At 40.2% G+C, this 12,615-nt stretch overlaps 1 protein-coding gene across 1 annotated transcript in view; it reads left to right on the forward strand.

Moving 5' to 3' along the window:
- BMP6 (bone morphogenetic protein 6) overlaps positions 1-12,615 on the forward strand; it is a 155,630-nt gene that overhangs the window by 109,946 nt on the left and 33,069 nt on the right. Inside the window, exon 2 of the mRNA NM_001718.6 lies at positions 9,096-9,288. Within this exon, the coding sequence (NP_001709.1) occupies positions 9,096-9,288 (193 nt within the window). The remainder of the gene's footprint in view (positions 1-9,095; positions 9,289-12,615) is intronic.

Here is a 12,615-nt window from a genome sequence, read left to right on the forward strand (position 1 = left end):
TGGCCAGGCCGGTCTCAAACTCCTGACCTCAGGTGATCTGCCCACGGCCTCCCAAAGTGCTGGAATTACCCGTGTGAGCCACTGCGCCCGGCCTATCTCCCCAGTTTAAAGTGAAATTAATACCTATATTTGGGTATGAAAATGGTTTTAACATGATTTTTTTTTTAAAAAAAAATGACTATTAACCCTTTGTGCTAATAATATGTAGGTGCCTAGTGTCCTAAAGCTCTTTACGATACATGTACTGGATATCTTCTTAAAAAGTCATTTGGAATAAAAGGGTAGCCCCAGAGAGTTTTATTGTGGCAACGGAGGATTTCTGGATCTGGATTTGGGTGGTGGTAACATGGATCTATACATGTGATAAGGGGTCATAGAATAATACACATACGTACTCAAACAGTGCTTGTGAAAACTGGTGAAATCAGAGTGGGTGTGGTCTAGTAAATGTATTGAGCCAATGTCAGTTTCCTGGTTTTGATCTTGTACTTCAGTTATGTAAAATGTTACTATGGGGGGAAGCTGGGTGAAGGGTGCATGGGGCTTCTCTACTGTTTTTTCAACTACTTGTGGGACTTTAATTATTTACAACACAAAATAAAGTTTAAAAATGTCATTTGGAGCATGGCAACCAGAAAAAATAGATTATTCTTGATATTTGTGATTCTTATAGAATATGAATACAAATACTTAGAAATATTTGATGAACCCTGGAGGGTAAAGTCTTTTGTTTCACCTTGGTCAAAAGTGAATTGGAAAGTTTAGCTCAGTCTTTGTATTACAATTCAAGGTTATATGCTTGCAACATGAAAGTCAAAAGGCCGCTGTCGTTACAACCCTTGGAAGTCCAGCCAGAAATGTCCTTGTTGCCTAAAATTAAATAAGCTTGTGCCATAGAATGAAAAATTGCTTACATTAGTCAATGGAATGACCATGTTTCAAAAAAAATTTCAAGTTTGGTGTGTAACTGTAAATGGAAACGTGAAATATTTGGAAAATGTAGGATTTATTGGGAATTATTGTAATTGCCTTAACTAATCTAGACTAAATTAACCAGAGAGTAAGTCCAGTTAGTGAGAGAATAATGAATATGTGATTACTTTTAAAGTAAATATGTTAAATCGATTGCTCTGTTCTTTTTCCTCTCTGTTGTTCCCCTTTTTATTTTATCTTTTGTGTTTGTAGTTTGAGATAGGCAGTGTCTTTGTTTTTCTCTGGACAATTTTAATTGAAATAATTCAGACTTAGATACCATTCAGAAAAGATATATATTAAAATATCTTTATTAGCATCAAACAAAGCAGTAGTGAGAAAAAAAGAAAAATCTTTAGTAAGATCAAGGAAAAGTGAACGTACAAATTCGGATGAAAAAGGAGAAACAACCATAGATAGAGCAGAGATGAAATAATGAGAGGATTCTATGAAAAATGTTATGGTAATAGTTCGCTGCAACCTGGATGGGGTTGGAGACCATTATTCTAAGTGAAGTGACTCAGGAATGGAAAACCAAATATTGTATGTTCTCACTTATAAGTGGGAGCTAAGCTATGAGGATGCAAAGTCAAAGAATGACACAATGGACTTTGAGGACTCGGGGGAAGACTGAGGGGGGCTTAGGCATAAAAGACCACATATTGGGTTCAGTGTACACTGCTTGGGCGATGGGTGCACCAAAATCTCCGAACCCACCACTAAAAAACTTACCCATATAACCAAACACGACTTGTTCCCCCAAAAGTATTGAAATAAAATAAAATAAAATTTAAAACAAATTATGGCAATAAACTTGAAAAATTAAAAATGGACAGACCTCTAGAAAACAGACTTAAAAAGAAATAGGTTCAATATTTCTATGTTTAAAGGAAAATGAGTAATTTAAAATGTCCCCCAAAAGAAAACACCAGAATCAAATGACTCTACAGATAAGTCTGCCAGATTTTCAGGAAGTATATTACTTCTTGAAAAGAAGGAGCTGAAAGGCTCCCCAGCTTATTCCAAGAGAAAGTGCAGTAGTTCCCCCTTATCCACGGTTTCCGTATCCACAGTTTCGGTTTCCACAGTTTGCTCTTGAGGTCTGAAAACAGTTGAGTATAGTATAGTAAGATATTTTGAAAAAGAGAGAGAGACCATCTTCATATAACTTTTATTATAGTATATTGTTGTATTTGTTTTATTATCATTAATCTTACTATGCCTAATTTATAAATTTAAATTTATTTTCCTAGGTATGCACGTATAGGAAGAAACATAGTGCATATAGGGTTGGCACTATTCACGGTTTCAGGCATCCATTGGGGCCCTTGGAAGGTATCCCCCTCGGATAAGAGGGGAAAATTGTATAACTTGAAACCACACAATGCCATAGGAAATGAGAACATCGCCAGTCTCACTTACGAACTCACACATAAAAATTCCAAATAGTAAATATATGAAAGCAACCCTCTAAACTTTCTCATTAGGTCCAATGCTTTGCAATGTGTCTCTTCTTTTCCTATTATTTAATCTTAATAGTACCGAACTGGACTCCAACATCAGACTGAAAGTCAGAGTCCTTGCCGCTCTCCTGATTTTAAAGGCAGTGATGTGAATGTATCACCATTAAGAATGTCCTTAGCTGGCTGGGCGCGGTGGCTCACGCCTGTAATCCCAGCACTTTGGGAGGCCGAGGCGGGTGGATCACGAGGTCAGGAGATCGAGACCATCCTGGCTAATACGGTGAAACCTCGTCTCTACTAAAAATACAAAAAATTAGCCTGGCGTGGTGGCAGGCGCCTGGAGTCCCAGCTACTCGGGAGGCTGAGGCAGGAGAATGGCGTCAACCCGGGAGGTGGAGTTTGCAGTGAGCCGAGATCGCGCCACTGCACTCCAGCCTGGGTGACAGAGCGAGACTCTGTCTCAAAAAAAAAAAAAAAAAAAAAGACTGTCCTTAGCTGTAGGGATCTTTTTAATATACACTCATTATCAGGTTAATGGAGTTCTTTCTATGCCTGGTTTGCTAGTTTAAAAGAGACTTAAGAGGTAGAATAATCAAGTGTCATGAGTGAACACTGGCTCCTGATTTCAACACACAAAATTTAGACAGTTTTTTAGATATTTGAGGAAATCTGATCACTTTAACAATTTTATTATTATTTTACAGAGACAGGGTCTCACTCTGTTGCCCAGGCTGGAGCGCAGTGGTGTAATCATAGCTCATTGCAGCCTCACACTCCTGGGCTCAAGCAGTCCTCCTGCCTTGGCCTCCCAAGGGGCCGGGACTACAGGCAATGCCACTGCACCTGGCTGCTTTAACAGTTTTTAAGTGTACGGTTCAGTGGCATTAAGGACATTCACATTGATTGTGCCACTATCACCACTTCCTCTCCAGAACTTTTTCTTCTTCCCAAGCTGACTATTTGGGTACTTACTAAACCTGAACTTCCCATTCCCCTCTCCCATAGCCCCTGGTATACCATTCTCCTTTCTATCTCTATGGATTTGACTAGGCTTGCTACCTCATATAAGTGGAATTATACAGTATTTGTCCTTTTGTGGGTGGCACATTTCACTTCACACAATGTCCTCGGGGTTCATGTGGTACCATGTGTCAGAATTTCCTTCCGTTTTAAGGTTGAAGAGTATTCCATCATAGGTCTGTACCACATTGTGTTTACCCATTCATCCGTCAGTGGACATGTGGGTTGCTTCCAGCTTTTGGCTATTGTGAATAATGCTGCCATGAACATGAGTGTACAAATATCCGTTCAAGGCCCTGCTTTTAATGCTTTTGCATATATATCCAGAAAGATAATTGCTGGATCAATGCTAATTTTATGTTTGTTTGAGGAATTGCCACACTATTTGCTACAGTGCTGCACCATTTTGCATTCCCATCAGCAAAGCACAAGGGTTCTAGTTTCTCTAAATCTTTATCAACACTTGTCAGAAAATGCCCATACTTTTAATACATCTCTATGAAGTAGGGCTGAAGAAGGAGAGGAGTTACTGGTCACCATTGCCTGCACAGCGGCCATGCCCACCTATGATACATGAGCCATTCACCCGCTGACAGGCAGACGACCCTCCACACAGGCTGCCTTGCTCTTAACCATAACCAGGCCTACATTTTCCATGTGAGCCTGCCTGTACAACTTCATCATGTCTCTAAAAAGGAAAGGAAAGGAGGAGAACCGAACAGTGTATGATTTAGTGATACACACATGCAGTAGAATTGTTAGGTTTTAAAGGGCAGGGGAGTGATAAACATTATTCCTGATGTGAGGTACCTTTGGAGAGAAGCAGTTGAAGAGGATCAGGAAAGAATACAACAGTCTCAGTCACTTTCTGGTTTTCAGGTTGGGTGATGGTTTCCTTGGTGCTTTACTATTATGCTTCATTACCTCCGTAAATTGCATACATCCTTTTGTATGTATAATTACATAATTTACATTTTAAATCTTAAACCAGTGACTTTTATTCCTTAAGGCTTTTGTTCCTATGTGTTGGCCAAAGGTCTAGGACAGGTGAGAAATTTCCACTGGGATGGTCTGAGGCAGAAAGGAGAGAAGGAAGTGAGTTTTATAAAGCTTCGTTTGTTCAGTATGTCTTCCCTATTTTATTTAGTATTAAAAAGACTTTTAGAAATGCAGTGGTAGAGTTAGAGCATGCAGTTTGTTGTTTTGTTTTTATTGTCCTTAACAATGGCAAGCAGAAGAAGCAGATAGCCTTGTGTAAGGTCATTATCATTTCAAAAACTGTCTTGACTGGTCCTTGAAATTTAAAAATTCTAGGAATTATTGCCTCAGAGAACACAGCGCCGCATTCAGGAGCCAGCCACCAAGGCTGATGCTCAGTGAGATTTTGCTTACTGGCCTTTCACAGAATGCCTCACTCGAATTGAAAAAGCTAATTTAGAGGGAGCAGCCGTCAGTCCTATCTGTAGACTCGTGAATAAATTTGAATTACTCAGCAAAGACATACTCCAAGCTCCGAGGACCTGGATTCTCAAATAACAGCCAATGATTATCACAGCTAACATTGATTGGGTATTGACTCCGTGGCTTTGGCTATTTTGTATAGATTGTGTCACCTAATCTTTAGAAATGTTATTATTTCAATTTACCTGATACTGAAACTTTATTATTTAACTCAGCATCATATAGGTAAGAAAAAAGCTAGAATTCAACACCAGCGTCTCAGTTTGACATGTCACCAACACTCTTAACTACGACTTAATTGTGACTGCATCTGGCCCCATCATCAGTAAGCCAAATGCTAATGGGTATAAAGTAGGTACTGAGGGCTGAATTTGGAACTCAGCCCTCTCCCTTTCTCTCCCATTCATATTTCTTGAACTGTCTGGCATTTGAGGAGTCTTGACTCATATAGCTTGAATTGCTGCGCTCATTGGAAACATTACTGTTTTACCATTGTGGCGTTCAGGTGCACATACAGGCAGTAACCTAATTGTATTTATTTCTTATATCCCTATGAGACATTAGCAAACAAACTGTGTACATTCAATCGCAGGCAAAAGAGTGGGGGGAACGGAGGAGTTCTGAGCAAACTTCAGTGATCAGTGGCTGAGGTATGATGAGGAGAGTGAGGAAGGTGGTACAGCTTTGAGGTAAAAGGCACAGGAGCAGCTTAGAAGACCAGACGGTAATGGGATGGGCGTGAGAGTTTAAAAGGTTGTGGGTGGCAATCAGAGGCTCGTGGATGACACTAAGGAAGCCGTGCATCTTTTCTAAGAAGGATAAAGGAAAAGAAAGTTCAGAGTACTTCATGATATTGTTGTTTTGGTAGAGGAAAAATTGGAAAATCCACATATGAGGCAATGGGTTCTATTTTACATTGTAATAAAAGGAATGCTTTGAACTGTGCTTCTGTTTTCTCATTTTTAGATTTTTTATCTCCTCACATCTTCAAATCTGTGAGCATTTGCCAAGATTCTTCCTTAGTCGTACATATGGGCTCCCAGCATTGCACAACACTTATCCTTAAAAGTTACATGCAATTTATCCCCTTCCTGGCATGGTCAGACTTCCCTTTTCTCTCCTCCCTCCTCTTTTCCTCCCATCCCCCTTTCCCTTGTTGTGTTAGTTGCCTATTACCGTGTGACAAATCCCCCAAAACATAGTGGTTTAAAACAACAACGAGTTACCATCTCTCACAGTCTTGTGGAATGACCAGGTTCAACTAGGTGGTTCTTTCAAGGCCTCTTGTGCAGCTGCAACCAGGTGGTGGCTGGGGCTGAGTCATGCAAAGGACATCCAAGATGGCATCTTCATAACACTTCTGGTGCCTCAGCTGAGGTGCTTGGGGACAGGCTGGACAGTTTGTGTGTTCTGTCTCTCTCTTCTCCCACCCACCCCCATCTCTGTTCTCCTCTCCCACCCCTCTGTGTAGCTTCTCTACATGGCTAGCTTGGGCTTCCTCACAACATGGAAGTTTCAGGGTAGTCACACTTCTTAGATGACAGCTGTCTTTCCTCAGACAAGCATTCCAAGAAGTCTAAGTGGAAGGAAGTTCAAAGCTTATGACCCAGCCTTGGAAGTCACTCAGCACCACTGTTGAAGACTTTCGTTCTGTTGGTCCAAAACAGGTCATACAGCCAGCCACAGAGCCAGCTCAGAGCCACCCGAAGGGAGCAGACCACCCACGGGCATAGATGCTGGGAGATGTGGTTTATTGGGAATGGCATACCTCTCAGAAGACCAGCTACCACATTTCTCCTTTGTTAAAAATGTCTGTTTCTCTGCTCCTTATAACTGAAATATCTTAAAGTTACTGTCTTATGTCTTATTTCTTATATTTTTTCTAAGGAAGTTTATTGAAAGACTTCTTTGAAGAATTCTTACACATGCTCTCCAGCGAATCTTAAAATATTATTTTCATTTAGTAATATTACAATTAGGCCTCCAAAAAGCTCTATAGAGAAAAGCTGTGTGACTGTTTTTTAGAAAGTCTCTTTGGAAAATCAGATTTGATTCACTTTTTAACCAACGATGATAACATATCAAACTTAAAAGGCAGATCGGTTTTAGGGAAAAGTGATACACCGTCCTGTGTGGGTGTCCTTGAGTGAACTTCCCAACAATATTGCTTTTCATGCGTAGCCACTAATTAGAAAACCTGCTCTCTTGTTGGGGCTAAACTGTGGTTTACTTTTCTGGTTGGACTTCTTCTTGCTTATATTCAAGCTTTTACAGAAGCCAAAGCTTATTCTTTTTTAACCCTCAAAATAAAAAAAAAAAAGAACTCGAATCTAAAAAATGTGTTGTGTAATTACATGGCAGTTTCAGAAATTCTTTTTAAAAAATCTTGTACCTATAGATGGCTTAACTTAGCTTCTGCAAATGCCATTGAGGACTTAGATTCTTCTGGGGAGTTAGCTCTTTTTTTTCTTTTCTTTTCTTTCTTTTTTTTTTTTTTAAGAAGCTAAATCTCCAAAGCTTTTCTCTGGTAATTATGAAAAACAACATGTGTAAGAGAAAGTGGGAAGTTGGAGGTGGCTAATAATTTGATATTTTTTCTACCCACAAACCTTGGGAAAACTCTGCTATAAGGATTAATTTGCTCATGAGATTTCACTTTGGTTGCCATTAAGGAAAAACGAACAGGAACAGCAAGGCAGAAGTGTTTCTTGACTCTGGGGAAAAGAGTCAAGGGTTTATGGTGGGAAACAGAGCACTCCTTTTTTCCTTTTACAGCAATTATAAGTGAGGCATCTGAAGTTTGATATCACTTTTCTCACACAGGACTTTGTATAGACACCTAAAATCTGACTGAAAAATCATCAGTAATTGCAATTTCTCATTTGTCTTCATGCGGGAAAAAGATTTTATTTTAAAAACGTATTTTTTCTAGCTTCATTGTGGTGTAATTGACAAATATTGTATGTATTTAAGGGGTACAACGTGATTTGATATACTAATACATATACATTATGACATGATTACCACTATCAAGCTAATTAATGTGTTTATCACCTCACAGAGACACGGCTTTATTTTTTTTGTGGTGAGATTGTCCCAGTTCCTGGTAACCTCCATTCTATTTTCTGCTTCTGTGAGTTCCACTTTTTTAGATTCTGCATATGAGTGAGGTCGTGCAGTGATTGTCTTTCTATGCTTTGCTTATTTCACTTCACATAACATCCTCCAGGTTCATCCATGTTGCAAGTGGCAGAAGCTCTCCCTTTTTTAAGACCAAATACAAATGCATTTATGCACATACCACGTTTTCTTCATTCATCTTTCAGTGCACAATAGGTTGATTCCATATTAAAAAACCTTTTAGATTCTATCCTTTCCCCCCAGTTTTTTTTTTTTTTCAATGTAAACCATGAGAAAATAGCAGTGGCTCTGCTCTGTTGGTGATTTCCTTCCACATCTTTGTGGCATCTACATGCAGATTAAATGGGGGTTCCAGCAACTTCCCAGTGTGGAGAGTCCCCCACTGCTCAGAGTCGTGGAGCCTTCAGGTTCTACCAGTAGGAGGAAGGCATAAATATTTCCACTGAACAGGCAAAATGTGAAGACCCTTTACACTTCAGGCCCAGGCAAAATGCTTTGCCCACCCCCCTTCCCCACCCGCAGCCATCCCCACCAATGTTCAGCTCAGGGCTGCCCTTGGTTATGTCAACTGCTGATGGTGACACGTGAACCAGCCTGAGGAGGGAAGAGTAGCCGGGAGGAGAGGGGGCCAGGAGGACATAACGGGGCCAGGATGGGCGGACGGGTTCTTCTTCATTGCTTCATTAATTCTCACACCTTTTTCTGTGAAGTCATACTCTTCCCATTTTTGCAGATGAGAAAACTTTAACGCAAGAGTTTTCATAACTTGCTCTCATGCAAATTCATTCAAATAAGTATATAAGCAGAAGTATTTAAACTAAATAAAATCTAAGAATTTTGCTTCATCTTGGGTAACATGAAGGATTTTCATCTCCTCCTCATGGGCCAGCCAGTGGTCTGTTCACTACCCGATCCCCGTAGTAAGCCGTGGGTAATTGGTAATCCACCTATGAAGTCAAACGGGGAAACTGGTGAGGTAAGCCCGTGGCACTTAGTCAAGTAACAATAGTTGTCACTCTCTCTTGTTTAATCTTATAGTGGAGTACGACAAGGAGTTCTCCCCTCGTCAGCGACACCACAAAGAGTTCAAGTTCAACTTATCCCAGATTCCTGAGGGTGAGGTGGTGACGGCTGCAGAATTCCGCATCTACAAGGACTGTGTTATGGGGAGTTTTAAAAACCAAACTTTTCTTATCAGCATTTATCAAGTCTTACAGGAGCATCAGCACAGGTATGAAGGCTCGAGAAAGCCCCAAAGGTGGGGCTGGCCCCTGTTTCCCACCTTTTGTCATGACAATAACCCCAGCTATGTCTGTGCAGGGTGACCTGGAGTTCAGGGGCAGCATGTGAGTACGATGAGGTGGGTGTTGTAAATGGGAGTGTTTAGCTGGTGAGATCTTTTGCTATTTGATTTTCCAAATAGCTATCTTTTCCTAAGAAAGCTAGTGAATGTATTTATTATAAGCATCTTTTGTGATCAGATAACTCCATAATTTATTAGGGTTAAAATGTTCCCACTATTGATTAGTCCTCATTTTGAATGATAGGTGAGAGTGGCTAAAATAAATTCATACATTAAAAGTATATGATGCTTGTAAGTGATAATAATTCCAGTGAATACAAGGCAGTGTATTTGTGCACATAAGATACACATACACACATGTATCTTTGAGTAAGCTTGTGTGTGATGTATTTTTTTTTTTTATCACTTGGATACAAGGGAGCAGTAGACTTTTTCCATGTCTGTATTACTCTCGTTTCCTAAAACAAGGCCAGACCATTTTACAAAAGAACTGCAGTGAAGCATGTGCATGGAGCTGCCTAGCAATACAGAAAAACTTCCATGGAACAATTGCTGGAGGACTGGAAGGGCTGAGGGATGAAGTTTTATAGTCGTTAGTACAGAAGAAGCCAATACACAGAAGCCAATGACCTCGAATTTTGCTTAGTATTTAGGGGTCAGTTTAGTAAGTCAGTGAGAATCAAGGCCTTTATGCATAGTAGAATAGTGTTACCGTGTAGCTCTTAGTGTGTACAAGGTGGAAATTAAGCAGGTGATATGACGGTCTGGCAATTATATGGCAGCTACAAGGATAAAAATGAAGGGAAGTGAACATATGGGGGAGGGAACTCCATGCTTCCAGACTCCGTAAGGGATTTGTCAGATTTGGTTTTATAAACCAAGTCCAGGTTCCCACTTTTGGTCTTGTGAGTCTATTGATTTCCCAAGAATTTCCAAAGGCTTAAGAATGACTTTGGTTTTTCCTGAATGTATTGATCTGTGTGTGGGTCTGTCACAAATACACACACCTGAACTCATAAGCAACATTAATTTGTCCGTGAAAGGTTCATTTTTGTTTTGAAAGCACCGCCAGCATCCAGCCCTTGTGCATATTTAGGTCTGTAATGGGGAAACACAGAAGGAGGAAGGACAGATGCCATGCTTTGGGACATTTCATGGTATGAACATACATGCTGATAGTTGTAGGTAATTCATAGCTAGGAGAGCTAAATAATGAGTAAAATACATCCATTGTGGTATCTTTATAATGGGTCACAATTTTGGAACAAAAGGGAAGTTTTCTGATATCTGATTCTCACTCCTAAATAAAAATATATTCAGTGGCTATACTACTGAGGGCCTCTTTTGAAAAGTACATTTTTTGTTGCTAGATTTTTGTCTGTTGATACTTCAGAGATAATTGGTATTCACTGACTCTTTGGAACTGTTTTAGCCATTGATTTTCAGTCTGCCTAATTATTTATTTCATTATGTTTCTCTGGTTAGAATAACCTACTGGTATCTTTTTGGCTCAGAAATATATTGGGAATATATGTTTTTCTCCGTCCTGCAGGAAAACCTTTACAGTGAAAACCCTAGGCTGGGAGTTAAGTGACTGGCATTTAAAAAAATTGTTATTTGTTTTAAAAAAGAGAGAGAGAAAGTTAGCAGAACATTTGTAAGGTTTATACTGAACTCCAGCCAAAAAAGAACAGCTGCCCTGTGCTTAGGATGGTGGTGTCATACTTCCTCGAGGCCAGCAGTGAGTTTGGAAAATAAAATCCTGAATGGTCCCAACCTTTGATGACTCTCTATCAAAGCGGAGAGTTGTAGTTTCTTTGCCTTCTAGGATGGGAGCATTTGGCACCTGCATGTGTTTCGTTGTTGTGCATAGGAAAGGGGAAATTCTGGGAGAACTGGGAGAGTTTCATGCTTTTGAAGGGCTCCAGTTTGGCCAGGAAGAGATTTTCTTTTCTTATCTGTGGGCCAGGAGCCCAGGCCTCCTGCCGCCTCCTAGCGTTCTTCCAGAGGCCTCCAGATTCAGCTGCAGGACTCCTTTCGGGGGAAGGTTTGATCTCCCCATCTGTACCATCTTGGGGTGTCTTGGCTGAAAACAATTCTCCAGGCTTGTGAAGAAATGTATTTGTCTAATCTGTGTTTAAGTGAAATTTGTAGTAGTTGATGGATTAACTCCATTTAACAAGGGTTTGTGTTGCAAAATAGTTGACCTCCTTGAAAAATTAAAAACAGAGTCAGGGTTTTAAATGCTGAGTCACACACTCAGCTGGGGTGGCAGAAGTTGTGTGTCAGCCTTCTGATATTAAAGACAGTTAGGAAGCCTGACCCAGGGAGGGTCAGGGAAGATTCTTGCAAGATGGGCTTTTGCTGTGAACTCTGCACAAACATGTTCCTTTGACTGAAAAGAAATGACGGGACCAGGTAAGTTTAAAAAGAAAAAAGGTGGCTACTTGAATAGACGGTACTTTTAGTAAGAACAAGCAAACACTTGATACTTTACTCAAAAGTTGAGAATAAGCCCTTAGATGGAGTCTAAGTCATGGAAGATTTGATTGAAGCAACTCATAGATTAGAATGGAATCAGCAACCTAATAGGGAAACAGTTTTTGCAAAAATTACATTGGCAAGGGAAATCTGACTTAACTGACTCCATCTTGCTTCTACTTGGCTAAATTGCTCTTGCTCATTCTTGTGCAGAGGCCATAGTGGTCCTTTCCTTGAATGGATCCCCTTCATGTTTAAAAATTGAAACTATATTTGTAAAGAGGTCACAAGGTTAGAATTATGGAAGGGGGTCAAGCTTTGCTAAAGAATAGGCATAAACAGTGACTTGCCATTGATCAGCTTACTTGTCTATAAGTTGCTGACTGCCCCAGAATCATGTAACTGGGGTTCACAAAGTGTATGACTTCCCCAACTACACCTATAGATAACATCACTATTGTGAAAGCTAAAGAACTTGTCTTTGAGATATTTTTCAGAGTTAGCATTTCAGCAGACCACGAGATACCACCTGGTCCTGAGATTCCTTCCTAGGAACTGACTCAGCTATGTGAAGACAGTTTTAGACACCCCTGTGATTTCATCCTCGGTCAGTCAGTGATTTCAGTTCCCCAGCTCCCTGCCTGTCAAAGTACCCTAAAAACTCTAGCCTCCAAATTCTCGGGGAGGCATATTTGAGAAATACCTCCTGTCGTACTAGTTGGCTGGTCCTATGATTATTGACCTCTTTCTTTGCTGTAATACCTGCTGTTTTCA

The sequence above is a fragment of the Homo sapiens genome, chromosome 6, assembly GCF_000001405.40.
Source record: "Homo sapiens chromosome 6, GRCh38.p14 Primary Assembly".
Classification (NCBI taxonomy): Eukaryota; Metazoa; Chordata; class Mammalia; order Primates; family Hominidae; genus Homo; species Homo sapiens.